This window comes from Homo sapiens, chromosome 20, assembly GCF_000001405.40.
Source record: "Homo sapiens chromosome 20, GRCh38.p14 Primary Assembly".
Classification (NCBI taxonomy): Eukaryota; Metazoa; Chordata; class Mammalia; order Primates; family Hominidae; genus Homo; species Homo sapiens.
Genome location: NC_000020.11, coordinates 62,123,246 through 62,150,486, shown reverse-complemented (window position 1 = coordinate 62,150,486; position 27,241 = coordinate 62,123,246). Strand labels below are relative to the sequence as shown.

Sequence of the window (27,241 nt, the reverse complement as noted above, 5' to 3'; positions counted from 1 at the left end):
ACAGACGCAGAATCAATTCCTAGGAGTCATCAAGGTGTGAGGGGGACCAGCCTGGCTAACCGGAGAGCTGGTCGAGCATCAGCAGGTGGCTAAGCCAGCGATGGCACCTGCGCTAGCGCCTGCCACTCCTGTTCTCGGGGCAGACATCGCTGACCCATCAGCAGTCCTTCCCTCTGAGCCCAGCCTGAGCTGCTCCGTCCCTGCCCCCGAGGTCAGCAAGCCGATACTACAGACTCCACTGATGGAAGCCAGTGGGACCCCTCTGAACATTCACCCAACTGTGGAATCCGTGAAGTCGGTGTGTAGGTTTCAGAAGAGCGTCTCAATTTACACATGTGCAGTCTCCTTGAGAGGAGCTGGCTGCTGCCTCACGGCCCCACCGCTGTATGCTTGACGTGTGTGTGCAATTTCAAAGACTCTAAGAACATGTGAAGACACGCTGAACAGACACAAGAGCAGCCGCCTCTGCATGTGCCTTGGCAATCACTTCCAGTCTCATGGCGCTTTGGGCTGTCACAGCACAGCACAACACAACAAAATCACTGTGCTCCTGACAGTTTCCAAGCTGGAGACGTGCTTATTGTACTAGCAACACGCGACGTCTGTATGCATCTCATCCATGTGCTGACACTGCTTTTTCTTTCTGACATGACCCTGGACTTGCGATGGTTTCCTGCAGTTTGGAATGGAGTCCTCACCTCCCTTTCCGAATACCACGGATAAATTCCGGCCATTCCTTGCTCGTTGAGTGCCTGATCAAAGGCTAAAGCTGACCAATTACAAGGCTGCTGGGCATTGCCTTACCCATACAGGCTATGAGGGAGGCCACAGCCCTGTCCTCTTCGTAAAGACAAGGAAACTGGGGCACAGAAAGGCGAAGCACACATCACCATCAGCAGGATAAGAATGTGAGCCCAGGAGGCCCGGCCTGCCCCACCCTGCCCTCCTGCAGCTCCATGGCCCCCATCCCCATCCTGGTAACACCAAGGACCTGCCTGCATTCCACACCTATTTCCCATTTGAGGAGGATATAAACAGCCCATTTCCGTCCCCATTGTGCACAGCAGCTGTGGTGGCCGATTAGAATCAGACCAGTGTCACAGGAGCCCCCTTCCTACCATCATCCATGGCACCTTCTCCCAACCCTTTGGACTCCTCTTGTGATCACATGGAGGGAGGTGGTGGAGGTGCCTGCCCGAACCAGGCGGGAAGACCTGCACTCCCTCTTCCCAGGCCTCCCAGGCCCCACAGGCCTTACGGTCCATCAGCGCCAGCCCGCTAACTGCTCGGCACCCAGGGCCTGTTTATTCCTGCATCCACTGGGGACGGGCGTGACACTGCCACCACCTGCAGCCCGGGGATTCCAGGGAATCTGTCTTCTGACTCCAAGCACACAGAGGCAGGTGCCCAGGCCCCGACCCACTGGCCCAGGGCCCAGACCGCGCAAAGGGCCGGAGCCTCGAGGAGAGCACCCGCAGGACCGCCGGCTAGCGAGCACCACCTGGGCAAGACCTGGGCTGCCTTTGGCTGCTGGCTCCAGACTCCACACCCGGCGACTGGATGGCAGACAGGGACTCTGGAGACCCACCAGCCTTGGAAAGGTCACGGGTAAAGGGCAGTGGGCAGGCACAGTGTCTTTATCCAAATGCGTCCTCACCCTCCAGGCTGGGTAGGAGTTGGGAGAGCAGCTTCAGGAGCATCCAGCAAGAGGGTGTATGGCCAGGCTTTACAGGCAGAGGGGGGACAGAGGCCAGGCTGTGGCTGCTCCCTCCAGGACAATGCCTTTCTCCTGCCCACCTCCCCCGTGGCGCTTGGGTTCAAGGGCCTTGCAGAGCGCCTCCCTCACCTGACCTAAGACAGCAAGGAGGCCGAGCCTCCCTCACCTGACCGAAGACAGCAAGGAGGCTGAGCCTCCCTCACCTAAGACAGCAAGGAGGCCGAGCCTCCCTCACCTGACCGAAGACAGCAAGGAGGCCGAGCCTCCCTCACCTGACCGAAGAGAGCAAGGAGGCCAAGCCTCCCTCACCTAAGACAGCAAGGAGGCCAAGCCTCCCTCACCTGACCTAAGACAGCAAGGAGGCCGAGCCTCCCTCACCTGACCTAAGACAGCAAGGAGGCCGAGCCTCCCTCACCTGACCGAAGAGAGCAAGGAGGCCAAGCCTCCCTCACCTAAGACAGCAAGGAGGCCAAGCCTCCCTCACCTGACCTAAGACAGCAAGGAGGCCGAGCCTCCCTCACCTGACCTAAGACAGCAAGGAGGCCGAGCAAGGCCGGTGGCTGCGGGGTCCCTCCCCGGGGCTGAGCCCAGGCTCCGGAATGAGGGGACCCAACCCCCCTATCCCTGCGGATGTAAAGACAGGCCCCCATGCTCCCCTTCTCGGGTGGGGGGAGCCTCTGATCGCAGGAGGAACGCTGTCAATCAGCCACATGCAAGGGAGGCTCGGCATCCCCAAGCCATTCAGTCACTGGACAGCTTTAACCTTACAAACACTCCTAGCCAAATTAGCTTGCGTTCCTTCAGACAGCAAGTTCCACTTCTGAGGGAGCACACAGGGTGCCCACTGCCTACTGGGTGTGCACCCCATCCTCCGCAGCCCATCCCCACCCAGAAGTGCGCCCCTTGCCCATGCCCCACCCCCGCACCTGGGTACCAAGGACATGGGGTAGGGCTGGTCCAGCTTCAACAACTCCCTGGCTCTCGGACCCTGGGCACGGCACTAACCCACCCCACGAAGGTCTTGTCTTCCCACACCAAACCCACCCAGCAGGCGGCCCCAGGGGCCCACCTCCTCTCAGCTCCATCCCATTCCCTCAGAGCCTTTCCCCAACCCTGCCCCGCAACAGGTGCTGGGGATCCAGACACCCAGCAGACAGGCAGACACCACTGCTATTATCCGGCCAAGGAAACCAATGAGAAAACCAATACAAACAGAAACAGTAACACATTTATTGAGCAATTACTGCATGCCAAGCAGCAAAGAGGCAACTCAGGGGTCCCCTTCAAGCCTGGCCACATGGTCCGAGGTGACCACTGCAGGCCCAGCCCCAACAGCAGCGTAAGGAGCACGCACTGGACAACAGAACACTACAGTCCCCAGCTGGTGGCTAGAGAACACCCAGCCAGGCCCAGGGCCACCGTGGGGACATGGCCCAGCCCCACCGCAGGGTTCCCCAGCACAGTCATGTCCTCTGTGGTGCTTGCCACAGAGCAGTTCTGACTGTCTCACCCACACACTGCTGCCTGGTCACCACCAGCTACCCTCCCCACATCAGCCCAGCACCCCCTGCCCTTCCACTTTAGGTCCCCCAATACCTGCTCCATGCAGGCCAGGCTCGGGACCCTCTGTGACTCCCTGCCCCTGCCCCATGGTTCTCTTTCTCTGGGATAGCCCTCACCACAAACGCACTCTCGTGGGCTAAACTGTACCCAGACCCCTGGTGCCTGCGCATGGGAGGTACTGGAAATGAGGTATTTGAAAATGAAATAAAGACGGGGTCATGCTGGATTAAGGTAGGCCCTAAAACCAGTGACTAGAGTCCTTATAAAAAGTGGGAAATTGAGGCCAGGCATGGTGGCTCATGCCTGTAATCCCAGCACTTTGGGAGGCTAAGGGGGGGAGGGGGCAGATCACTTGGGGTCGGGAGTTCAAGACCAGCCTGGCCAACACAGAGAAACTCCGTCTCTACTAAAAATACAAAATTAGCCGGGCGTGGTGGCACGCGCCTATAATCCCAGCTACTCAGGAGGCTGAGGCAGGAGAATCGCTTGAACCTTGAACGTGGGCGGGGGCGCGGAGGTTGTGAGCCCGAGATCGCGCCACTGCACTCTAGCCTGGGCAACAAGAGCGAAACTCCATCTCAAAAAAAAAAAAAAAAAAAAATGATCAAAGCAGAGACACGCTGGATGCACCTACAAGCCAGAGAACACCAAGGGCTGCCCGCAGTCATCAGAAGCCAGGAGAAGAGCAGGTAACTGACCCCTGGACTTGGGACTTCTGGTCTCCAGAACTGTGAGGGAATAGATTTCTGTTGTTTGAAGCCACCTGGGTTGTGGGAATGTGTCAAGGAAGTCACAGGACACGAACGCATCTGCTTATCTCAAAACGCTTCCACTGATGGGACCAGCGTCACAGATGATCCAGCACGTGCTCAGCACTAACTGTGCTCAGACACTATGAGAGGCTGGGGATCAGCAAAGAATAATCAGTCACATGCCAAACTCAGGAGCTCAAGCAAGTGCTACAAGGGCCACATGACTGCCGACGGAGCATGAGACGCGGAACACGTGAGTGAGGCTTTGAAGGTTGAGTAGAAGTTGGCCTGGAAGATCTCCACCCACACAGAATGCTGTAAGGACAAGGTGTAGACCTCTTTCTCCTTCACTACCAAGCAGAATGCTGTAAGGACAAGTTGTAGACCTCCTTCTCCTTCACTACCACGCAGAATGCTGTAAGGACAAGTTGTAGACCTCTTTCTCCTTCGCTACCACGCAGAATGCTGTAAGGACAAGTTGTAGACTTCCTTCTCCTTCACTACCACGCAGGCTTCAGAGGGGTCCCTGGCTTCTCTTAAAGCTCTCGGCATGACACTACCAGCACACACTGTGGACACAGCACACGTCTGAGGCATAGAACATACACCTCTCACACCTTTCTCAGCCTTCTCACACCTCCCAGTAAAAGATCCCTGGGTACATATATTCACCGTCAAAACACCAAGCCCAATACGCAGACTGCTGGCCCTACCAAGCCAAGTCAGCAGCCTAAACTGAAGGCCTATTTCCAATGGTCAGCAGGCTGAGTTTCTGCCCAGGGACCCACGGTCCACAGGTGCATTTCTTCCTTTCTGATCTGATGTTCGGGGCAGCACCTCAATACACACTTTTACCTGGAGAATTTGGGGAGCTTCAATGGAACTGTGTGCGAAGTGCAAATAATGGGATAAACGTTGCAGCCAAAGGTAGCTTCAGGAACAATGACTGTTAAGCTCCAAAAAACCAGAGTGCCAGGAGATGCTCTGGGTTCCAACATTTGCCTCTGAGCCTAGAGCTTGACCTCCGCCTGGCCAAATGTTCCCAGATCAAGGGGCACCAACAGAGCAGACCCTGGAGCCACCGTATGGGATCGACACCTGGCTGTGCCACTTACCAGCAAGGCATTTAGCCCCCCTAGGCCTCAGTGTCCACTTACCAGCAAGGCACGGCCTCCCTAGGCCGCAGCCTCTTTAGCTATTAAACGGGATGCCAGTAGCTTCTATGAAGAATTGGATGAATCAAGATTTATAAAACCCCTAGAACAGTGTCTGGGATACGGTAAGCGCCACATAAGTGTTTACTAAGTAAATTAAAATGCCACACTTGTAAATCTGTATTTCTGCTATTCTCAATCTCTCCTGTTCAGAGTTGGCCAAGGTTCTCATTTGTTAAGACCATCAAATTTCTAAAACTAGCAACAGCAAAGGTAGTCTCAAAATAGGCGATAGATTTAGGACAACTTCCACAGGAGACTGGCACGTCATCAAGGAATAACAGCCTCAGTCAAGGTCAAGGTGAACCCCCTTAGGGAGACAAGCGGCTCCTGGGAACCTAGGAATACCACTGTTTATCCCTGCAATCCCACCAGGGTGAAGACGGAGTCAGAGTTTAGGAAAAAAAACCAATGTCATTCCAACAGATGTTGTGACAACTGAAACGGGTATGGCTAATGCTGATTTTCTTCCGAATCTGTCTTCTACAGAAAAAACAGCAGAAAATACAAAGTCTCAATTTCAAAACTTAGGGCTTTGGATAACGGTGTCCCAAACCCACATAAACGCTGTCTCTTGAAAACCACAAGGCCGAACTTACGGAGCTAGAAGAAAGGTTGTGGAGCAAATCCGTCAAGTTTGTTAGGCGAGGCGGCTGGCGAGGGTGTCACGCTGAAACCCGGCGTAGCCGCGAGGATACGGAGGGGGCGGTGCGCTCCCTACGGGGCCGGGCTGCGTAACGATGCCCCGCAAATGGGGATCGGGACGCGTCCTTCCGTGCCTCCATCGTTCGCGCCTCGCTCCAGGAGCAAGAGGGGCAGCCCCGGCCACAGTCCCCGCGGTCGCAAGTGCGCCCGGAGGCCGACCCGGGCCCCTCACCACTAACCAAAATGAGCGCAGAAAACGAGTACCGCCCGCCGTCGCCACCGAAGCTGGCTGCGGAGCGCGACAAGCCCTCGCCGCGGCTCCGGCCCCGAGGGGTCCCCGTGCGCCCGGCATAGCCCAGGACAGTTCCCAGCGCGCGCCGCGGACTCGGGGGACAGCGCGCTCGGGGGCCGGCAGCCTCCAGCGTCCGCCCGGCCCCCACCGCCCAGTGCCCCGGCCCGAGGGACCCGCGCGCCCCAACAAAGTTGGCGCAGGCTCTCCGGGGACCGCCCCCCACACGGCCGGGTGCCCGCCGGCGCGCAGGCGTGGGACGCGGGGAAGGGCACGGGGCCGCCGTCGGGGCTCGCGGCCGCCCGGCTGCGCCCCGGCTTTGTTCGCGCCCCGCGCCCGCCAGCTGCCCGCGCCCCGTCCCCGCGCGCGCCCGCCCGCAGACCCGCCGCCCAGCGCCGCCGCTCCGGCCCGGCCCACCTTCTGGATGGTTTGCTGCGTAACCTCCCCTTTGCCTCTTGGCCGGGCAGACGCGAAGGCCACGGACATGGTGGCGGCGCGGGGCTCAGCCCGTGGTCATCGAGGTGGATACTCCGGCTGCGCTGGGCGGCCCGAGGCGCTCATTATCCGCAGTCGCGGAGGGGGGGAAGGGGGCGGGAGCGCGGGGGGCGCCGCGTCGTGGGCTCGTCCGCCCCGTCGCCGTCGCCGCGCCTCCGGGCCCGCGGCGCCGCCGCTCCGCCCTGCAGAACGGTCTGCGGCCCAGTGCCGAACGGTGGCCCCCGGCGACCCCCTCGCACCCAGCGCCCGGCCCTCGCCGGAGCACCGCCTCCCACCCCCGGCCACCGGTGGTTCGGCCTGACCCCGCCCCGGCGCGCGCCATCACGTCCGCCCGACGCCGCCTGACGCTGCCCGTCGCCGCCTGACGCCGCCCGTCGCCGGCAGCGCAGGACACGGCGCCGAGGGTGGGGCGCGGGCGTAGTGGCGCCGGGAGTCGCGGGTGCGCGCGGGCCGTGAGTGTGCGCTTTTGAGAGTCGCGGCGGAAGGAGCCCGGCCGCCGCCCGCCGGCATGAGCTACGACCGCGCCATCACCGTCTTCTCGCCCGACGGCCACCTCTTCCAAGTGGAGTACGCGCAGGAGGCCGTCAAGAAGGGCTCGACCGCGGTGAGGCGGCGGGGCCTGCGCGGGGCCGGGGACGCGGGCGGAAGTGGGGCTGGGGAGCCCAGAGAGGGCCGGGGCCGGGCGCGGCGCTGTGGGCGCCCGCGGGCGTGCGCGGGGCAGCGGCGCGGGCGGTCAGGGCTGTAGCTGAGCGCGGGCCCCGCTGCCGGTCTCCACGAGTGCCTGCAGAGGCGGCGTTTGGCGTGAGCCGCGAGCGCTCGTTCTCCCCACTCAGCGCCTCGCTTGGGGCCCGGCCTCGCGTGGGGCCCCGGGCACGGGGGCCGTGACGACGCCATCTTGAGCACCCCTGGCCCCGGCCGGGCGCGTGGGTCGCGCCGCCGCCCCGGCGAGCAGAGGCCGGGCGAGGGCCGCTCTGGGCCGCGGAGCGCGGGGGGTAGGCCGTGCGCTCGCTGGGGGGCTGTTCACGCAGCCGGGTGGCTGGGGAGCGAACTACTCAAACCCCCCTTATGGGGACCCCCACCCGCTCCGGGGCAACACTTATTCTCTAGGCCCAGGTGGGCTTCGAGAACAAAGCGGCTCGCTGGCCTGGCCGGTGGCGGGCGCCTCCCAGGTCTCCGCACTCTGCCGGGAGGAGCCTTCCCGGGGCCGGGCTGCAGCCGCCCGGGTCAGGACTGGTTTGGACGCGGCCGTTTCGTTTTGACGAGGGCTCGTGTACATTGACCTTAGTGACATTGTTTGAAACTTAAATTCGTACCATCAAGACGTGTCAGTTTAATTGGTCAGTCTGTGAGATCGTTATTCTTTTATCATCTGGTATTCAGAGGTTTGAGCAGGCAGAGAAAGCAGCACACACGGTTCTGTAAATTTTGATTTGTTTTCATTTTCTGAATCTTTGTTTTGAAATGAAGGCCCAGTATTCATCAGGTGATCTAACTCAGCTTAAAGAGGACTAGGAGTCGGCTGACCCCTGTACCCACCCCAATACTGCCACCCCCGCCAGCTGGCCGCCGCTGGCTTTAACGAACCCATATAGCTTCTCTGGGCCTCGAGTCAGTCGAAGGTCAAGTGAGTCAGTACCTGAGAAAGCTCCCAGAAAACCCAAACACTTCAGATCAATACTTCTCAGCCAGGGATGGTTTTGGGCCCACACGGAGCCACTGGCAGTGTGTGGAGACTTTTCCAGTGGTAAGACCTTGCAGAGGTGCTCTTGGCATTTGGAGGGTAGAGGCCAGGGACGCTGCTCAATATCCCACCCGTGCTCAGGGCGGCAGGCACAGGGAGATCCCCCTGCCCAGGTGCTCACAGTGCTGAGCTGGAGAAGCCCTGCTCTAAACCAGGAGGCGCTGTTTATCCCAATGATGGTTCCCTTTGTTTCTGGCTTGACTCGGGTTGACTGTCAGTGATTGTTCATGCTTTTAATAACAGCCATATCCTTCTCCAGCATCAGCCATAAACAGTTTGGGATAACACTTGACACCTTGTCCACTGACGGCAAATCAGGCCCCTTCTCATGGCTGTCACATGAGTATGTCACAGTGCAGGAAACAGTGCATTGTGGCTCAATATAATTTCACAACTACAGAAACACTGCCTTCAGAACACCAGACTTGAGTGAAAGTCTCAGGCTTCCAGGCTTTGCATGGGACTGATTCATTGGGTTGAAAGGAAACACATGCCGATTATATAATGGTTACTTACTAGCTATGTTGTAACTAAAACTACATCTCAGTATTTGAAAGGCCCAGGTTGGGCACCTAGGTGAGCACGCCTGGGCTAGCTCTACCAGCAGTAGATGAATACCCCTGGGTTTGCAGGATGTGGTGCCAGCCACAGTGACAGACAAGTAGAGGAGAAAGGGGTGTGGGTGAACGCACCTTCCAGTGGGAGCTGCTACCCGGAGTACGTACCCCCCAGGACCCAGGTTCAGATCTGCTCCTACTGCTCGCTGCCTGGCAGTAGAACCATGTATCACTTTTTTGGGAGGATAGGGTGGGGTGAGGGGACAGGGTCTTGCTGTCTCTGTCTCCCAGCCGTCATGGCTCACTGCAGCCTCCACCTTCCAGGCTCTAGCGATCCTCCCACCAGCCCCCACAGTAGCTGGGACTACAGGCTTCAGCCACCACACCTGGCTAATTTTTGTACTTTTTGTAGAGACAGGGTTTTCCCATGTTGTCCGGCTGGTCTTGAACTCTTGAATTTAAGTCATCCACCCACCTCAGCCTCCCAAAGTGCTGGAATTAACAGGCATGAGCCACTGCACCCAGCACTCATATCACTTTCTTACGTGGTTTGTGGATCTTAATTAAAGGTTGGTGTTCGAGGAAGAGACATTGTTGTTCTTGGTGTGGAGAAGAAGTCAGTGGCCAAACTGCAGGATGAAAGAACAGTGCGGAAGATCTGTGCTTTGGATGACAACGTCTGCATGGCCTTTGCAGGTATGAGTCGGTGGGGAGCGCTGTCTTACTCTCTAGAGTCTCAGCGAAGAATAGGGCTTTGGAGATTAACTTGGGTGTGTGGGCTATTGTGAGCCATATAAACTGAGTAAATGAAAATCATTTAAAAGAATTGGATTTGGACTTTTAAGTTGGCTAGTTTCTTTGGTGGCCTCTCTCTGCCATAGCAGGTGAAACAAATGGCTAAATGGATGAAAACACTTCTGGCTGCTGCGCAATTTGACCTCCACTGTTATTTTTCTGTATCAATCAGTTACAATCTAGAGAAAGGCTGGACTTTCTAGAGCTAACTGCATCTGTGGCATGGAGAGGACAGAACCACGTCCTGCCATCCCCAGCAGTAAAAAGGACCACACTGGTGGATGCAGGCCATGCCTCGCCATGTTCTCAGCGCTGTTTTGGTCTTGCTCATTTCTCCTCTCAGCAGATGCAATCTAGGAAGATCTCAATTCATGTAATGAAATTAGGGATTAACTCAATTTCTAAGATTCCCAAGAGGACTCAGGTACTGTATTTAAGTATGGTCTGAAGTACACAATTCTTCATATGCAGACAGTCCCTGTTGATCTGTGTTTTTAAAAATCCAGATTCTGCACGGCAGCCTACAATTTTTTATTTACAATGGGTTTATGGGGTAGTAAATGCATTTTCAGCCAGGTATTTTTGACTTACGATGAGTTTAGCGGGATACCACCCCACTGCACATCAAGAAGCATCTGTACCCAATTTCCTGGAAGTTCCCAGGGGCTGATAGGTTCCGCTGCCAGTCAGTTAGAATAGCCTTGCTGCCGGTTTGGGGGGTCTGTGGAAGGTTAAATGCTGGGTCATCGTGTCTGTCCCCACCCTGTAGTTTGTGCTGTCTCTCTAGCAGAAGCCTCTCTGCTTTCCTTGCAGGCCTCACCGCCGATGCAAGGATAGTCATCAACAGGGCCCGGGTGGAGTGCCAGAGCCACCGGCTGACTGTGGAGGACCCGGTCACTGTGGAGTACATCACCCGCTACATCGCCAGTCTGAAGCAGGTGGGTGCCTGCCCGCTTGCATGCTCACCTCTGGCAGCAGGGCAGTCACGGCTCCGCCATGGAGGGTCCTGCCATGTCACTTCAGGTGAATCAGAAAACTGATTTATTCTGGGGCGTGATCCTAATCTTGACTTGCACAAGTGTAACTTGACCTAGCTCACCAATTTCAGTAACATTGTTCTGTTCTCAGTTCCTGGCATGGGATATTCCAAATTCCTGTGTCTGGAGGGAAATGATAGCTTTTGTCTTGCCATCCTGAGTGACCAGTCACAAAGCAGTTGAAGGGGGCTGGAAGCCACCCTATGAGGACACGCCATTAGTATGTAAGCAGAATGTGTGTCTACCTGTCAAAGTAATTTCCAGTAACCTGAGTTCACAATTCTGGTCCTAGGTGAGTTTTTCTAGGAGTGAAAATGCAGAAAAGGATGTTGAAAGCTATTGGCTAATGTATCATTTGAACTGCTGATAACCTGAGAAGGGGCTCAGGCATGGTTTAAAATGTTCGTATCTTCACTAAGTACGGTTCTTTCCTCACATGCAGTTTCTTAATTGGATGGCACTGACCTGTTTCTTTTCTTGCTAGCGTTATACGCAGAGCAATGGGCGCAGGCCGTTTGGCATCTCTGCCCTCATCGTGGGTTTCGACTTTGATGGCACTCCTAGGCTCTATCAGACTGACCCCTCGGGCACATACCATGCCTGGAAGGTGAGTTCGTGACAAAGGGGCTTTGGACAGTCTTGCCAGAAAAAGGCTTTGAGGGGTGGGAGGTCCTGGGCTTCCTGCTGTAGGCCCTGTATCAGTGAATGAGTCAGTTTAAGTTAACCTAGTCCTATGAGAGCAAGAAAATGATTAAACATTGCTGTTTGGAAGAAAATCAAAGGGCAGCAAGGTGTAAGCGTAGTCCACATAAATTAAAATTCTTGGGTGGGCGTGGTGACTCACGCCTGTAATCCCAGCACTTTGGGAGGCCGAGGCAGTTGGATCACCTGAGGTCAGGTGTTCGAGACCAGCCTGGCCAACATGGCAGAACCCTGTCTCCACTAAAAATACAAAAAAAATTTGCTGGGCATGGTGGCACATGCCTGTAATCCCAGCTACTCAGGAGGCTGAGGCAGGAAAATCGCTTGAACCCGAGAGGCATAGGTTGCAGTGAGCCGAGATCACACCACTGCACTCCAGGCTGGGCAACAAGAGCAAAACTCTACCTCAAAAAAAAAAAAAAAAAAAAATCTCCCATTGCCTCTTGATAGCGCAGTAAAACATACAATCGTATAACCCCATTCTCGGTAAGAATCAGCATCAACTCTAAAGAGCTCTTTGCAAAAGGAAGCCACGAGGCAGGGCCTGTGTCCACAGCTGCTGTCCAGCACTCCAGCTTGCCTCCTGCCACTGCCACTGGCTGGGCGGCCCATGTAGGGCAGCTGTGTTCCAGGGCTGGCCCTGGGTTGTCATGCCCTATGCCACGTGAGAACATACGTGTCTGTTTTAGGCCAATGCCATAGGTCGGGGTGCCAAGTCAGTGCGCGAGTTCCTGGAGAAGAACTATACTGACGAAGCCATTGAAACAGATGATCTGACCATTAAGCTGGTGATCAAGGCACTCCTGGAAGTAAGTTTGCATTTGGAATCCAGGCAAGGTGGTGAAGATACCACGTTTTGGTGGTGAGTGGTAGGTAGATGAGCAGGAAGGAAGGTGGCAAGGATCCAGCAGTAATGCTTAATGACTGCTGTGTTCCAGGCACTGCTCTGGTCTATGGTGTATCCTAACTGCTGTGTTCCTTGAAATAGCCATGCAAGATGTGATCATTAGTGTCTTTATCCAGCCGGGGCAGCTGAGGGTTGTGCAGGGACACACAGCATGAGAACCAGAGGCAGGATGTGAACCCAGCTGTCCAGCTGTGGAATCTGTTCTCGAGCCATCACTAGGCCTTCCAGAGGCTTGAACTGTTGCTAAAGTCAGGGGATTAGAGAACTGGAGATATGGTTGGGCTTTGTCAAGACCTTGAAGTGCTAGCAGGTAAAACCAGAGAGGGACTAGCTGGAAGGCCAGGCGGGAGCGTAGGCATCAGGATTCCTGGTTGTAACCACTGTGTCAAGAGGAGGGCCTGGAGCAGCGCTACTGTGCAGGAGAGAGGAGTCCCAGTGCTGGGAGGCGGAGGGGTGTGCAGGCATCCCAAACAGACTTCACAAATGGCCATGAGTTTAGGACAAAGACACAGGTTTTGGGGGCTGGGACCTCTGTTCCTGGGACGGTGCTGGGTTTGGGTACACACCTATTTAAGGTACTCCTGAGAGCTGCTTTTGTCTTGAATAGGGAAAGGTGGTTAATGCTCCTGTCTTCTGTCCCTTCAAGGTGGTTCAGTCAGGTGGCAAAAACATTGAACTTGCTGTCATGAGGCGAGATCAATCCCTCAAGGTAATCACCAAGTTTGTCTGCTTTCTTTACCTGTCAGTTTTCTCCCATGATCAGGGCTGAGCAGTACCAGTTCCGAAGGAAACATCATAGGGCCATTCTGTGGTTTTAACATTAGGAAAATGTCTTTCTGAGGCTCCCCATACGTCAAAGAGAAGATTCCCATCTTCCTCTGATTAGATGGTCCACGCGTGTTCTCTGGGCATGCTGAGCGGCTGCCAGTCAGATCTGCTGCTGCTGCTACTGCTGCTTAATACTTGTCTAGGTCAGGCCAGCATCCTCTTGTTTTTCTTGAGGTTCCTCTCCAAAGAGGCTGTATGAGCAGCAGTGCCAAAGCCTGGCCGCCCTCCCCAGAAGAGGGCGCTGGTTCCTTGGCACCTTGTGTGGCTTAGGTAACCATGAAGTTTTTTTCTATAGATTTTAAATCCTGAAGAAATTGAGAAGTATGTTGCTGAAATTGAAAAAGAAAAAGAAGAAAACGAAAAGAAGAAACAAAAGAAAGCATCATGATGAATAAAATGTCTTTGCTTGTAATTTTTAAATTCATATCAATCATGGATGAGTCTCGATGTGTAGGCCTTTCCATTCCATTTATTCACACTGAGTGTCCTACAATAAACTTCCGTATTTTTAACCTGTTTTTTTTTTTAAGAGAATGTGTATCTTTAGGTGCAATCACAGCAGTCCTCTCATCTCTCACCCTTCTTTTTCAACCCTGAGCCACCGTAATTGAGCTTTCCTTTCTGTTCCTTGTGGCTAAGACAGTAAGCCAGTGTGAGACACAGGTTCCTCCCTTGGGAAGTCAGAGCTGCTGCCCTGGGTCCTGCAGAGAAACCTGGCCTTCAGCAGACCTGTTTCTCTGTTGTAGACACAGAATGACTTCCGTTTGCTTTTAGACCTTCATTCTAGTCCCCTAATGAATGTATAATGTCAAGGACACAAACACAAGTAGCCCTGGGTTCATTCTGTAGAGCAGCAGCTTTGTTCAAAGCAGCTTTGCATGTCTGACTTTCATAGACCACATCTTGACGTCTGCCCCCTATGTTGAAGACTGGTTCTGGCTATTCTCTGCCCTTTCCTGTGTTTTGACTTCTAGTCCCACAGTTTAAGGCTTTTGGGTCCTCTGGTCCTTGGTTTTGGGCATGTATCTTCTAAAAAGGAGTAAAGGGGCCCAGATACATTTTGAGCTCAGCGTAAAATGTACAGTTGTCAAAACAATGAACATTTTAACAGCAAGGTCAGCTGGCACACGATAACCTGACTACCTTGCGATGCTCTGGGAGGCAATACCTGTTTCACCAAGTTCTCTAGCTGGGTGAGGACTGTGGCCACCAGTATCTGGCACACGTAACATTTATTTTTCTGCTGGTCAAGGATACCCATTACCCCCACCCAAGAAATGGGAGGGCCCCCCACTGGCAGTTCTGCTGTGGAGCCTGATGGCCACAGGCAGGTAATGAAAGGAGAACTCATGCAGCTGGTGTGTCTCCTCGTCCTCTCTGAGGGCCACTTTTAAGGTCACCTGGAAACCCATTAGACTAAAATGGGATGCTCTGAGCCTAGAACCAGCCATGTCTTTGTTTTTCTGCGTGGGTCCAGGGTGCAGCTTGCTCATGGCTGTGTAACATGCTCTACGGTGCCTGAGAACCTGAACGCTCCTGAGCTGGGGAGCTTGGAGGCAGCAGGAAGGTGGCAAAGGGGCCACTGCTTATGATACAGGTGTTATCTGTGAGCTGGGTTTTTAAAAGAACTTTGTATCCAGTTTCTGAGAGCAGAGCCATTCATCCCAGAAGGGTGGCCCACAGGGAGAACCCGGGTCTGCTGGCCGCACTTCACCCGACCAATTGGGTCAGCCACCTCGTTCCATCACCTGATGGGGCCCAAGTCTCCCCAAATTCCACCAGCCTAAGTGTGTGCTCCAGACCTGGACATGATGCAGAGGTGACTTGGGCAGAAGAGTCAACAGGATTCTTAGAGCATCAGAAAAGAAAATTTTAAAGGTTTGCATGTTTATTTATAATTACAATTTACATTACTCCAACAGAGGAGCCCCCTTGCTATGTTCTAATTCTTAGCCATTAAGTCCTACAAAAATAAACCCAAGCTTTTACAGTAACTTAATCAATACAGAACTAAAGCCTTTATAGCTATTAGAGGGGTTTAGTTACCAAGGTGCTTATTTTCGACAAAATGCCCTGTCACTCAGAGGACGCATGCGTATACTAAAGTTCTGACCCATCGACTCATGCAACAAATGTAGACCCCACCCTCCCTCCACCCACTGTTACAACACAAACACAAAACAACGATGTACAACAGAGGGGAAATATGCTCTTGGTCAACTGACCTTGCAGAAAAGACTGGCTTGTTTCCAAGTGGATGAGAACGCCAGTGTGTGGCCAGAGTCCAGCAATGACTGACCGGCCCAGGTCAGAGGCTGGCAGGGACCACAGAAGGGCCAAGGCGCTGCCGGGGCTCATCCCAGGCTCCAACCCCAACCTGGAAGCTTGTGGACACCAGGCTCTGTGCAGCAGCTCCGTGGCTAGCGTCCAGGGCCCCTGGCCACTACTCCCAAATGCTTCTAGTCCACCCACCCCTGGCCAGCCCCAACCTTGACATCACTGTGGATGCCATCAGGGTGGTCTGGTTCACTTATACAACATGATCCATGGGAAAACCCCTTCCGTGCCCTCCACCCACCCACCCCTGCCCCCCACGCCACCCTGTGCTGGCCCTGCCTGACTCCTGAGACCCCACCCTTGGCAGTGGGGTGCCAGGCCAACAGCACCAGGGGCCAGCTGGGTTACAGAGATGTACTTGGCTGCCACCTCTGCCAACAGATTTGGTTCCACTTTTAAAAGTCAAAGCTTGTCATTAAAAAAAAAAAAAAAAGTCACAAAGTAAGGATTCAGCTTTCACTATAGAAACCTTTTTGCAAAATACCAAAACCTTAGAATTAGGCTATGCGCAACTAAAAAGGAAACACAGATAAAGAGACCTCAAAGAGGTTACCCATGAATACTTCCCCAAAACAAGTGGTTCTAACTCAGACCATGTCCAAGTTCAGTTAAGTCCAAAACACAAGTAGCAGTATGGGTCTCTTCCAAACTCCGTAAACAAAGTGACCACCTCTCCCTGTAAGTGCAGCGTTTTCCTCGCGTCCTGACACACACAGCGTCAGTTATGCGCCACTTCAGTAGGAGCCTGCAAGAGATGACAGGAAGTCAAGCATCTGCTGGGATAAGCTAGCACTGTTGCCCCTGCTGGCGAGCAGGAGCCACTCAGCCTCCCTCCTGCCCCCAGAGTCAGACTGGCTACCCCCATTCTTCTCACAACCCACTCTGAGAATCCTACTTGTACAATACACTGGGGACAGGGACGCAGCTAGTGGCAGGAGGGCTAGTCTTTCCAGGGCCCACCTGGCTGTCCCGAGGCGCTGGGTGGGGTTGGCACCAGGCACCCCATGTGGGACGCTCCGCCCAAACCCTAAGGTGCCCACAAATCCACTGGGACCTGGTTAAAAATGAAGCCTCTGATTCACTTAGGGCCGGGTTGGGCCAAGACACTGGCTTTGGAGCAAGGTCTCACTTGCTGGCTTCACCTGGGTGGTGAGCCCCCAGCCCACGCGACTCCCGCACCACCTCACCTCCCATACCTGCAATCTCACTTGGAGGATGCTGGGGCCTGGATCCTACCCCCACAGATGCAGGTTGAAGTTGGCCAAGAGCCTCCCGGGTGACTCATAGGGTCGAGGCCCTCGGTTTGGCTTTGACACCTCTGGGCCTCTCTTCTTCCTGGGAAACCGAGCCTGCTCCCCACCTTCCTAAGCTCTCCAGGTGTGCCTGACCCTACACCCTCCCACCAAAGCGTCCAGAAGGTTCATCCACTCACCTTTGGCTGCACCCTCACACCCTGCCAGTCCCGGCCCTGTGGGAAGTGGGGTTGCGACGGGTGGTCCCATTGCCCCTGCCTCCTCGGAATCCGCCCCGAGAACTGCGGCCACGAAGAAACCTCCCTGACACCCCAAAGGTCTCTGTGTTGAGCTTCCTCTCTTCGGCCCACGTCGTCCGCCTGGAGCTAAACCACAGAGGAAATGCTGATTGTAGCAGGCACTGACTCCCAGGCTTCTGGCCAGGCCTCGTCCTCAGAGCGGCCCAGGGAAGGAGGGACAGACTCACCAGGGCCACTACAGGGAAGGGGCGGCCCCGTCAGCTCTGGAGCCCAGCTCCGGCACTGCAGGTGCTCCCTGCCACGTTTCCAACCAGGACTGTCTCCACAGTGGGCCGGGGATCGGGATCCATCTCTACCATCTCTGGCACCACAGGCAAGCAGTGATACTAGTTGGCTACCAAGGCAGCCGCTGTTGCTCGCTGGGCACAGAGAGGAGCCCTGGGGAGGCCCAGGGGCCCAGGAGACCTGAGACCGGACCATGAAGTGGACCCTCCTAGACAAGGAGGAGGCTAGGATAGATGGAACAAGTTCCCTGGAATGTGATGCTTCTGCTTTGGGAGTTTGAAAGACAGGGATACAGCATGGACACTCATGCCACCCAAACAAGCTGCTGGTGGGAGACTATCTCCCACATCCAACTGTGCACCCAGCACTCCCACCCAGCACTCCTACCGACGCAGACAACAGCTCCAGCAGCACACCCACCCTGAGCTCCTCTTCAGCCGGAAACCTGCTGCTCCCACAGACTTCCGTGTTCAAAGAAACAGCAACTCCACCCATCAGCCGCCCAGGCCAAAAGACTTAGGAGTCATTCTGGACTCTTCTCTTGTCATGTTGGCCAATTCTGTTAGCGCCACCTTCAAGACACATTTAGACTCTACTCCTTCCCTCTGTCACCACCACTGCCTGGTTCCAAGCCACCTGTGCTGCAGCACTGGCCCCTAACTGGCCAGTCAGCAGCCACACTTGCCCACCGTCCAACCACTCTCACCAAGGACGCCGTAAAACATCAGACCGCACCACGCTTCAGCACAAAACCCTCTGATGGCTTCCCGCGGCACTTGGAACAAAAGCCAAAGTCACTGCCATGCCCTACAAAACCCTACAGGAACCCATCCCCCAGACTCGGCCTGTCTGGAAGCACTTCCCGCACTCATCTGCGCAGCCTGCTCTGCCTGTGAGAACTGATCATCCACTTCCCATCGAGTTACAGCCCCATCCCATCGCCCTCACTGCCTGGCCTTCACGACATGCTGTTCTATTTTTCCCCTGGCAGAACATGAACCTGAAGAGGTGGCGCTCTCCAGCCTGCCTTCTGAGGCCCCCTCAACGCCCCGCGGCATGTCTGGCGCTCAATCTGCAGGACAAATGGGCCCAAGTTTCCAAGCCAGGCCCACACTGTAGATGCCACCCACTCCCTAGGGTGCTTCGCGGGACTTCTGACCAGCTGTTAGGTGTGAAAAATAAAACACACCACATGGTCCCTGGCCTCAAACAATGAAGTGAAGGAAAGCCAGTGTGAGCACGTTCTAGCCATACCTCAGGCTGCTAAGCAAGGACCTCAGGCTGCCAGGCCAGCGGGACCAGCAAGCAGAGCACCGTGAGGTATGCTGAATGTGGACACGGGTCTGCCGGGGGGGGCGGTGCAGCCCAGCCTTTGTGGGGACAGGGCAGCAAAGCCAAGAGGAAACAGGCTCGACCTCAGCCAACTCCTCGGGTCGGGATCCCCAAGAGGCTTCCCACACGCAACCTGCTGGGACTCCGGCACCCATCATGCAGAAACGCAAGCAGGACCCTAGAACAGCTACCCTGAGCCTCAGAGTCCAGCTCTGCCCTCAGGTTGAGAGCCCTCAGCCCTGTCCTTTCTAGATTGGAGGACTGTCCTCCCCTCATTCATTCAGCCTCTCACCTGGTCTTGAGTTCAGAAGAGATGTTGTCGAAGAACGACTTGGATTTGTCATAGTAGCAGTTGGGCCCCAGAAGGTCTTCCTCAGCGGGCGCTTCGGCACTCTGGGTCACCACAGCCAGGTCCTTCTCTTCCCCCTTCTCAGCCTTGTCATCTACAAAAAGAAGCAGAACACGTGGAGATGGAGGAGGGGCAGAGCGCACAGCCTTTTAGCAGGGTGGTCCCTCCGGGCTCACTCGGAAGCCACCCTCAAGCTAAGACATCAACTATGCCTTGTGCAAAGCAGAAATCTCTTCTTCTACCTTCTAAGTACAGGTCTCGTTCTGCCGTCTGGGCTGTGCAGTCTGCACCTTATCCCACCCATTTTCACACCTCCCAGCACCTCACTTCATTAATTCCTCACTGCCGGTCACCATCCGCCTGGCATCCCCGGTTCCTCTAGGCATCTCTTCCTTTTCCTTGAGACAGAGTCTTGCTCTATCGCCCGGCTGGAGTGCAGTGGCGCAATCTTGGCTCACTCCCACTGCAACCTCCACCTCCTGGGTTCAAACGATTCTCCTGTCTCAGTCTCCCGAGTAGCTGGGATTACAGGCGCCCACCACCACGCCTGGCTAATTTTTGGATTTTTAGTACAGATGGGGTTTCATTGTGTTGGCCAGGCTGGTGTTGAACTCCTGACCTCAGGTGATCCACCCACCTCAGCCTCCCAAAGTGCTGAGATTACAGGCGTGAACCACCACACCCGGCCAGGCATCTCCTCCTAACACTCTCTAGGGGTACTCCTGTGCAGAGAATAATTTTCATATAATGAGCCAAACCTTTAAAATTCAGTTTCTTCTTAAATTCTTTGTCAAGCTCCTCTCGGTTGAACTGGGCATTTGCACTCTCGAAATCAAAGTCACCCTCAAATTTGATTGTGTTTTCCTTAACGTTAGTTGGACGGTTTTGCCCTCTGGAGCGATTCCTTGTTCGCCTGTTTCCTGTGAGGACAAAGGACAGCCCTGGCTGAAGTAGGTCACCAACCCAGTGATCTCAAACACCTCACAAGGAATTTCCAGGCACACCCCCAAGGCCACAGAAGGAACAGAGCACACAAGCAGCGACTTCACACCAGCACCCCTGAAACCGTCAACCAGAGAAGCAGGCAGGAGGGCAAGCAGAGCTCAGCCTGATCACTCGTGGTCCCCAGAAATCAAGTGGCAACAGGTGTTACCTGATCGCCTCCTCTGAGGTCTTCTGTTCTCGTCATTCACCTGCCCTTGAGCTTGCACAGCTGCCGGCTGGACTACATCTACGGCGCAAAAGGGAAGAGTAAGGCAAAGCTCCTATAGCAGCCGGAAGCCAGAACCCAGCTGTGGAAGCAGGCCCCACCACCATGGGGCACGCGGCCAGGGCGGCACCGCAGGAGGCTGCTGCACAGGCCTGCCCTGCAAAAGCACATGGGGCTTAGGATGGGGGAGTAGTATTTTTTTAATTAAAAAAAAAAAAATAGCCCAGGAAGTAGTGTGCCACTTTTAGAACATCAAGCAAACTCCAGGAAATGATGTGTTCAAGTACCGCTGGCCGTCTTGCTGCTCGGCTGGGCCTGACGACCGTTGAGCTGCGTCCCTGTGGTGCCCTTGCCAGGTAACAGCTTTTTAGCATTCAGGTTGTCAGCAGAACCAGTCTGCACAGCCTGCTCCACCATGGGGCTCTTGCCGACTGGGATGGATGGAAAACCAGCTCCTGAATTGAGGAGGGGAGGAGGGTTTAAAAACAGAGAGAAAAGAAGCAAGCCTTATATCTCCAGGCATTTCTCTTCTGCTGGCATGTCAGGAAGGAAAGGAGGGCAACTGCCTAGATGTTCTATCAAATCCAGGCAAAGCACCCCCAGACTGGGCCATTCCCTCTGAGGCTAGCCCAGGCAGCAAAAGAAGGCCAAGAGTCACTGGGCAGCACCAAGGCCAGTTCATCTTTGGACTCCCCACTCCCAAAGCCCTGAGCTTCCCAAGTTAGGGAACCTCAAGGACAGGAAAAACACCGTGCCTACAAACAGGCACCTCCCCAGAAGTGTGGAAACAGCTTTCTTAAAACCACACAAGCTCCAATCCCAAAGGAGCTCAGCAGCCCCAAGATCCTGATGAATTCAGGATCTGAGAATTTGTTTCATTCTGGTCCACACTGGAGAAGAACCAGCCCAGCCTGGGATTTTCTAGAAAATGCAGTGAACAAATTCTGAAGTTAAATTCTACAACACTGTCATTTCCACTTAAGGCACAATAAAACTAAAAATGATGAAGCAGGAGCTGACTTCCGAGACGTAGCAGCCTACACTTCTCTCAAGGGCAAAGGCTCATCATGAAGACACAAAGGGCTCCTAGGTAGCCTTTGGCAAGGGGCTATGCCTATGAAACTGCAGTCCGAGGCCCACGCACAGGGGATGAACCCTCAGAAACCAGGCCCTCTGAATCAGGAGGAAAATGGGAAGCACCACCCACCTCTCTCCATCTCCTCCCTTTCCAAGGTTCCAGGACCTGTAGGGACTCTAAACAGGACAATGTGGGACTGGGTGTAAGTGAACAGAGATCTGAAACAGAAAAGGCACCCTAACCACAGGGTAATTATTATTAGACGAACAGCCCAATACACATGAAGACTGGGCATCTCATCTTACTGCTTTTACGGAATAGAAATGAAAAAAAAAATTGACTGTAGAAAAATTCCTTGTAACCAGATCAAGAGAAGCTCTCAAAGGGCAGGTTGGAACGACTCTGCATAGAGGTCTGGAAAGTGTCCTCTGGCGGGAATGCACCCGGGCCACTTTCTCACTGATTGTCTCACTCAGCATGTCCGGGAGACAAACACAGCACTGCCTGCCTGCTGATCATACTGTGACTGCAGGGGCATGGATAAGGGGCTTGTCTGCTTTTTACACAACCAACTAGTTCAAACAAAGTCTTGCCCTATGAGCAGGTTTAGGTAACTGATCCTAAGAGCAATAGAAGTATCTGTGTCATTTTTAAGTGGGGGAAAAAAAAAGACTACTCTGTAACTCAGATACACAGAGTGCATGCAGGATTTGGAAAGCAGCACCTGCAGAATGACAGACTGACAGCAGCTGTGTGCCATAAGGAAAGCCCAGGCATCAACCTGGACCAGGGCCGGGTAATGGCGATGGTTCAGCTTGTCAGGGTGCTATGTGTAACACAAACATACAGCAAGATCGTCAATATGAATTTTAGAACTTCAGGGGAAATGAGTAGAACGTGAGAAAAGATCTAGAAACCCCACAGGTGCCGCCACCACCACAGCACAGAGACAGGTGGTGTACACTGGCCAGCTGGCCATCAGGCTGATACTGTCCACCTGGCCAAACAGTTGGCGACTGTCACCCAAGCCCCTAATTTTGAATCCCCTCAATGAGTGATCTATGAACCACACGGATCAAAGAGCAAAACAGGCATGTCAGGTGCTTTGGGGAGTCCCCCCTGCAGCACTCTGGAACACATTTAGGACCCAGCAAAAACCCCAGGGAAATGACTTTCTGTGAACAGTGAAGTTTCCCGTATGTGGTAGTCATGGTACAGGTCAACAGAGAACCTGGACCCAGGGAGAGAGAACAAACTACTCCGCTGATTCTTCGTAATCCCTTCTTTAACACTGAGAGTTCATCAATCAGGACTACATGCTGAAGCAAAACAAGCAGCTCAGCGGCTGCATGGGCTTGGCAAATGATCTGCTACAGCTACTGTCATTCTGTCTGCTGCTTTACCCCTCGCTCTCAGAATGGTTTGCAAGACAGCATGCAGTTCTCCCAAACTGCTGTTACCCTTGGCAGTGAGCTGCTGTGGCTCTGAGGACAAGTCAAGCTCTGAAACGGGCTGTGGAGATGGAGAAGAGCTAGGGCTGGAAGCAGCGGCTGAGGCTGGAGGGCTTACCAACTTCTCTAAAGGAAGATAAAGGAGAAAGAGCAAAAAGAAAGCACACAAATAAGTCAGGATACACTTGTCTTGTGTCTAGCAAGCTTGGAAAGAGCCAAGCAACCTCTTGTAGGATTCTGTCATACAAACACGTTTTAGAAACCCAGAGAGCTGGGCTGGGAAGGCCGCCTGTCACACTAGGAATAGCAACCAAGCAAGCATGATTTGTAGCAGCAAGTGGCCTACAGACCTCGTTTAGGGTTCCCTGTCTCACTACTTCATGCTGGATTCTGAGCAAGGGTCGTGGATCACCTGCCAATTCTACACTCTGAGCCCATCTGCAAAGCTAGGTCCAGGTTAAGGACAAGGCAGGATCTTTCTCTACATATGGAGAATAGAATCATACTCTGGGGTTTTTCAATCTTGGTTGAAACCATTTTTGAGCGAGGCACTTACAGTAGAATAAGGGACATGATGGGTGGGTTTGTATTTCACGTCTATATTTACAGGCTTATAAATGTGCAAACAGCTAGACTTCATCTGTAATACTACATATATATCAGCTATTTCTTCTTTGAAGCAGATATACCAGGACTTCCACCTATTTATTTTTTGAGACAGAGTCTCACTGTGCCGCTCAGGCTAGAGTGCAGTGGTGCAATCTCAGTTCACTGCAACCTCTGCCTCCCAGGTTTAAGCAATTCTCATGCCTCAACCCCCCAAGTAGCTGGGATTACAGGTGTGTCCCACCACACCCAGCTAATTTTTGTATTTCTAGTAGAGACAGGATTTCCCCATGTTGGCCAGGCTGGTCTCGAACTCCTGACCTTGTGATCCACCCGCCTTGGCCTCCTAAAGTGCTGGGATTACAGGAGTGAGCCACTATGCCTGGCCCAGGACTTCCACCTAGATCCGCCCTGACTCTTCGAATGAATTTTGATTTGATTCTTCTGTTCCAACACTCAGGCTGCTGCCTCTTTTACTTTCAGTTGAGTAGTTACTAAATGCTCTCACAAGCGGAAGTTGCACTGGGTAATTTACTAAGTGTGCAACAAAACAGTCTACAAGCTGAGCATGACAGGAATGCATATCCCCACCCTCAGGCTCCATCGCTCCACTCAGTGACAGTTACACGCAAGGGTAGTTTACCAGACAGAAACAGGTCACTCACCTAGACCCAGGGAGGCGGCATACTGCTGGCTGAGCAGGGAGCTGGCCGCCAGCGGGCCGTAGGGCGCCATCCCTCGGAAAGGGCTGTAAGGCACGTGCGGCTGGAAGGGCGAGGCGGAGGCAGAACCCAGGGAAGACTGAACAACGAGACATCGGGTGAGAACGGCGAAGGCCATCCCATCACCCCGCACGCCTTCATCAGGGCGCTTGTTCAGCTGGGAAACAAGCACCGTCCCATCAGCCTGCACCCTTGAGATGCTGGAGGAGCCCTTGGGGTGCAAGTTTCCAGTATGGTGAGAGCTGCCTTTTCCACAGCATTTCAGTTCCAGTTTCACCTGTCCATGTAATTCCTTTTTTTGTTTTGTTTTGTTTTTTGTTTTTTGAAAGAGTATTGCTCTGTCGCCTGGGCTGGAGTGCAATGGCGTGATCTCAGCTCACTGCAACCTCTGCCTCCCAGGTTCAAGCGATTCTCCCAGCCTCAGCCTCCCGAGTAGCTGAGATTACAGATGCCCACCACCACACCCAGCTAATTTTTGTATTTTTGGTAGAGACGCGGTTTTGCTATGTTGGCCAAGCTGGTCTTGAACTCCTGACCTCAGGTGATCTGCCCACCTCGGCCTCCCAAAGTGCTGGGATTACAGGTGTCTTGTCCATGTAATTCTAACCCAAATTTCTCCTAACTCAAAGCCATCGGATGGCTTCCCACTGCTCCCAAAGCCGGCCCTGTGTGATCCCACCTTCCAGGATGGGTGCTCAGCACAGAACCTAATGCAGTCTGAACCCCAGAGGAGCTAGTGAATATTTAAATTTAGAAGTGAAGAAAATATTAATCTGGGCTCCCTGGGGGAGCATGGGCAAAATAAGCCATAACCCAATAAGCAGGCACATGGCATCAGACTTGCAAATCTGGTGTTGTATAACAGCAGCATGTAACGACTGGGCGTAACCCGAGGGCAAGCCCTGCAGTCCCTGCAGGTAGGTCACGCCACTCACAGCAGCTGCTCAGGGCTCAGACTTCTCCAACCAGAAACTAAGGGCAAACGCTATGCCCGAAACATCACAGGTCCAGGAGCATCCACTCATACCACACTACACTACACACGCGCACATGCACACCCAACTCCCCAGGTCGCCTTCCTTAAGAGCCACGTGACACAGCACACACCACCTACTGTGTGTGCTACAAGAATCAACACCTTCTGTGAGAGCAGCAACAGCCTGGACAAAAGTTAAGCCACTTTTCATTAAAAGGTTATTCCTCAGGCTGGGTGTGGTGGCTCACGCCTGTAATCCTAGCACTTTGGGAGGCCAAGGCGGGTGCATCACAAGGTCAAGAGATTGAGACCATCCTGGCCAACATGGTGAAACCCCGTCTCTACTAAAATTACAAAAATTAGCTGGGCATGGTGGTGCGTCCCTGTAGTCCCAGCTACTCGGGAGGCTGAGGCAGGAGAATTGCTTGAACCTGGGAAGCCAAAGTTGCAATGAGCTGAGATCACGCCACTGACCTCCAGCCTGGTGACACAGCGAGACGCTGCCTCAAAGAAAAAAAAAAAAAGGTTATTCCTCACATTGAGCGTTCTGACCAAACATGCCACCAAGCTCCAAATGGAAACCAGCATCTCCTACAGCATGCACAGAGGGACAGTGGCACACTTACCTGAACAATGGCGGGATCCTGCGGGAGTGTGTGCTGAGCTTTCGGAGGTTCACACACAGTGATATCCTTGATGTCACTTCCTCGGAAAATGATGTACTCATAAATCTCCTCTCTGGGGGGCGCAGGCCTATCTGTGGGACGGTCTTCAGTGCCAAAGGACCTCACTTATGAGTGGAGAAAGAGAAGCGTTATTGTTGTCCTCAGCCAGTTCAATCAACCCTGACACCACTGCTCCCAAGCCTTCCAAAAGACGGCGACACTTGCTCAGAGCCACAACACAGCACCCCAGGTCCACATTTCAACAACTACTTAATGCCCCGATTTTCAATGGACAGTGCTGATAATGCACCAATTGGTGAAGCTCCAGACAACAGACAGCTCTAGATCACAAAGATGACAAGGAACAATTTCACAGACTGACAGTCTGATGTGCGAAGGCACCAACGTACAGAGCTCTCAGCAAAACAAGGCTTGCTTCGTAAGGCCTCCCTGTTCACGTTTGACTCTGTAGATCCAACAGCCAGCCGGCTGCTTTATGCCCAAAGCCTCACCGCACATTGCGCCTGAGGAGGCAGTTTTCTCACAAAGGAATCTAGACGAGTGTTGCCCTTACCCTTCTATCCATAACAAACCTTGGAACAGCTGTAACAGAAAACAAAGGGAGACAGGGTCCCAGGATTATGGACCTCTGACCCCGGCTTCCGCATCTATAAGGAATTGAGTCTACTAACCCCTAACCAGCAGGCTTCCAGGAGCGCCCAAGTCTCTTTCTAGCAAGCCTCTAGGGGCAGAGGTGGGTGGGACAGCAGCCTCTAACTGGTAAGACACAACTCCTGCTAACTCCTGGGCCTACTCTGGGCCTCAGCTTCTCTAACTGGGCTCTCCTGTAATAAGTGTAGTGAGGTTCCATGGCTGCAAGTGAGTGCATAGCCCTGGCATACTCAACAAGCTCCTGAAGCCACGCAGGAGACGGGCTTCAAAAGGAGACACTCCCTGTTTGGAATGAGTGCGTTCTTCTACACATGAAGTTCCCTGTGACCTAAGCAGCGTTTCAGACGCGTCTAGACACTTCAAGAACCCCTGGGAGCCTAGCGCCAGATCCAGCACACACACGGGCTTAGGCAGACGTGGCTCCACGGGCACTTTTCTCTGAGAGGCAGGGGAAGTGCACTCCCCGTCTTCTCTGGGTGATGAAGACAAAGAAACTCTGGACCACCCGCTGCCTCAACAACCTCAGAGATTCTGACTCTAAAGAGCCCCCCTCCTGTAAGTCCTCCAGCGGCCACAGCCGGTTACGAGCACCCACAGGCGGCTGTCACCAAAAGGTAAGCCCCACAGTGGGAAGGTCAGGATAGAGCAGGAGAACCGTTTAAACCGGGGCATCTGGCTGCCAACGGATGCTTCTGCCTTGGCAGGAGGCCGCATTAGGACGCGGTATTTGTTCAGGATCAAGGCCCCAGCTGTCTAATAAGTTCCAGAAAGGCTTGCAGGATTCGCGTGTTGTGACCCCACCCCCAGCCTTCGGGAGACGCCGG

At 54.0% G+C, this 27,241-nt stretch overlaps 3 protein-coding genes and 1 long non-coding RNA gene across 30 annotated transcripts in view, besides 11 other annotated features; 2 read left to right on the top strand and 2 right to left on the bottom strand.

The window, feature by feature from the left end:
- SS18L1 (SS18L1 subunit of BAF chromatin remodeling complex) overlaps positions 1-6,718 on the bottom strand; it is a 38,746-nt gene extending 32,028 nt beyond the window's left edge. For 7 of the 9 annotated variants that reach the window (XR_007067449.1, NR_125980.3, NR_125981.3 and 4 more), the window contains exon 1: positions 6,598-6,718. Coding sequence is in view for 2 of the 9 variants with exons in the window: in NM_198935.3 (NP_945173.1) it covers positions 6,598-6,666 (69 nt within the window). In the remaining 7 variants the exon portion in view is untranslated. Of the gene's footprint in view, positions 1-5,845; positions 5,916-6,597 lie in introns of those variants that run through there. The other 2 variants (XM_047440084.1, XM_017027784.3) reach the window with 1 other exon arrangement.
- Positions 33-770: an enhancer, noted in NCBI's record as "H3K27ac-H3K4me1 hESC enhancer chr20:60724773-60725510 (GRCh37/hg19 assembly coordinates)". NCBI's record gives its function as "activates a minimal SCP1, AML or CMV promoter by ChIP-STARR-seq in primed H9 embryonic stem cells {active_cell/tissue: H9 hESC(primed)}" and the evidence as "EXISTENCE:reporter gene assay evidence [ECO:0000049][PMID:30033119]".
- Positions 33-994: a biological region, named in NCBI's record as "Sharpr-MPRA regulatory region 1753".
- Positions 700-994: an enhancer, noted in NCBI's record as "tiled region #1753; HepG2 Activating non-DNase unmatched - State 1:Tss, and K562 Activating non-DNase unmatched - State 14:Gen5'". NCBI's record gives its function as "activates a minimal TATA promoter and a strong SV40 promoter by Sharpr-MPRA in HepG2 and K562 cells {active_cell/tissue: HepG2 | K562}" and the evidence as "EXISTENCE:reporter gene assay evidence [ECO:0000049][PMID:27701403]".
- Positions 6,242-6,291: a silencer, noted in NCBI's record as "silent region_13101". NCBI's record gives its function as "represses an Ori minimal core promoter by ATAC-STARR-seq in GM12878 lymphoblastoid cells {active_cell/tissue: GM12878}" and the evidence as "EXISTENCE:reporter gene assay evidence [ECO:0000049][PMID:35858748]".
- Positions 6,322-6,381: a silencer, noted in NCBI's record as "silent region_13100". NCBI's record gives its function as "represses an Ori minimal core promoter by ATAC-STARR-seq in GM12878 lymphoblastoid cells {active_cell/tissue: GM12878}" and the evidence as "EXISTENCE:reporter gene assay evidence [ECO:0000049][PMID:35858748]".
- Positions 6,502-7,211: a silencer, noted in NCBI's record as "silent region_13099". NCBI's record gives its function as "represses an Ori minimal core promoter by ATAC-STARR-seq in GM12878 lymphoblastoid cells {active_cell/tissue: GM12878}" and the evidence as "EXISTENCE:reporter gene assay evidence [ECO:0000049][PMID:35858748]".
- Positions 7,093-13,754, top strand: PSMA7 (proteasome 20S subunit alpha 7). Its single transcript, NM_002792.4, has 7 exons — positions 7,093-7,279; positions 9,543-9,669; positions 10,582-10,706; positions 11,290-11,412; positions 12,197-12,316; positions 13,061-13,123; positions 13,538-13,754. The coding sequence occupies exons 1-7, from the start codon at positions 7,184-7,186 to the stop codon at positions 13,628-13,630; spliced, it is 747 nt and encodes a 248-aa protein (NP_002783.1). The 5' UTR covers positions 7,093-7,183; the 3' UTR covers positions 13,631-13,754.
- Positions 7,252-7,891: a silencer, noted in NCBI's record as "silent region_13098". NCBI's record gives its function as "represses an Ori minimal core promoter by ATAC-STARR-seq in GM12878 lymphoblastoid cells {active_cell/tissue: GM12878}" and the evidence as "EXISTENCE:reporter gene assay evidence [ECO:0000049][PMID:35858748]".
- LSM14B (LSM family member 14B) overlaps positions 15,113-27,241 on the bottom strand; it is a 12,900-nt gene continuing 771 nt past the window's right edge. For 3 of the 18 annotated variants that reach the window (XM_011528605.3, XM_047439933.1, XM_047439934.1), the window contains exons 2-11: positions 25,707-25,870; positions 24,048-24,261; positions 22,786-22,902; positions 21,455-21,562; positions 20,535-20,702; positions 20,191-20,268; positions 19,796-19,957; positions 18,981-19,131; positions 17,012-17,197; positions 15,113-16,324 (exon numbers count right to left, since the gene is read on the bottom strand). In XM_011528605.3, the coding sequence (XP_011526907.1) occupies positions 17,026-17,197; positions 18,981-19,131; positions 19,796-19,957; positions 20,191-20,268; positions 20,535-20,702; positions 21,455-21,562; positions 22,786-22,902; positions 24,048-24,261; positions 25,707-25,870 (1,334 nt within the window). In that variant the 3' untranslated portion in view covers positions 15,113-16,324; positions 17,012-17,025. Of the gene's footprint in view, positions 16,325-17,011; positions 17,198-17,298; positions 18,132-18,980; positions 19,132-19,795; positions 19,958-20,190; positions 20,269-20,534; positions 20,703-21,454; positions 21,563-22,785; positions 22,903-24,047; positions 24,262-25,706; positions 25,871-27,241 lie in introns of those variants that run through there. The other 15 variants (XM_011528606.4, XM_011528612.3, XM_024451840.2 and 12 more) reach the window with 11 other exon arrangements.
- Positions 16,145-16,644: an enhancer, noted in NCBI's record as "H3K4me1 hESC enhancer chr20:60708899-60709398 (GRCh37/hg19 assembly coordinates)". NCBI's record gives its function as "activates a minimal SCP1, AML or CMV promoter by ChIP-STARR-seq in primed H9 embryonic stem cells {active_cell/tissue: H9 hESC(primed)}" and the evidence as "EXISTENCE:reporter gene assay evidence [ECO:0000049][PMID:30033119]".
- Positions 26,436-27,123: an enhancer, noted in NCBI's record as "H3K4me1 hESC enhancer chr20:60698420-60699107 (GRCh37/hg19 assembly coordinates)". NCBI's record gives its function as "activates a minimal SCP1, AML or CMV promoter by ChIP-STARR-seq in naive H9 embryonic stem cells {active_cell/tissue: H9 hESC(naive)}" and the evidence as "EXISTENCE:reporter gene assay evidence [ECO:0000049][PMID:30033119]".
- The window catches only part of LOC105372706 (uncharacterized), a 22,542-nt gene continuing 22,103 nt past the window's right edge, over positions 26,803-27,241 (top strand). For both annotated transcript variants that reach the window (XR_936963.2, XR_936962.2), the window contains exon 1: positions 26,803-27,031. This is a non-coding gene — a long non-coding RNA (uncharacterized LOC105372706). The remainder of the gene's footprint in view (positions 27,032-27,241) is intronic.
- Positions 27,124-27,241: part of an enhancer, noted in NCBI's record as "H3K27ac-H3K4me1 hESC enhancer chr20:60697731-60698419 (GRCh37/hg19 assembly coordinates)", that runs on past the window's edge. NCBI's record gives its function as "activates a minimal SCP1, AML or CMV promoter by ChIP-STARR-seq in primed H9 embryonic stem cells {active_cell/tissue: H9 hESC(primed)}" and the evidence as "EXISTENCE:reporter gene assay evidence [ECO:0000049][PMID:30033119]".
- Positions 27,164-27,241: part of a silencer, noted in NCBI's record as "silent region_13097", that runs on past the window's edge. NCBI's record gives its function as "represses an Ori minimal core promoter by ATAC-STARR-seq in GM12878 lymphoblastoid cells {active_cell/tissue: GM12878}" and the evidence as "EXISTENCE:reporter gene assay evidence [ECO:0000049][PMID:35858748]".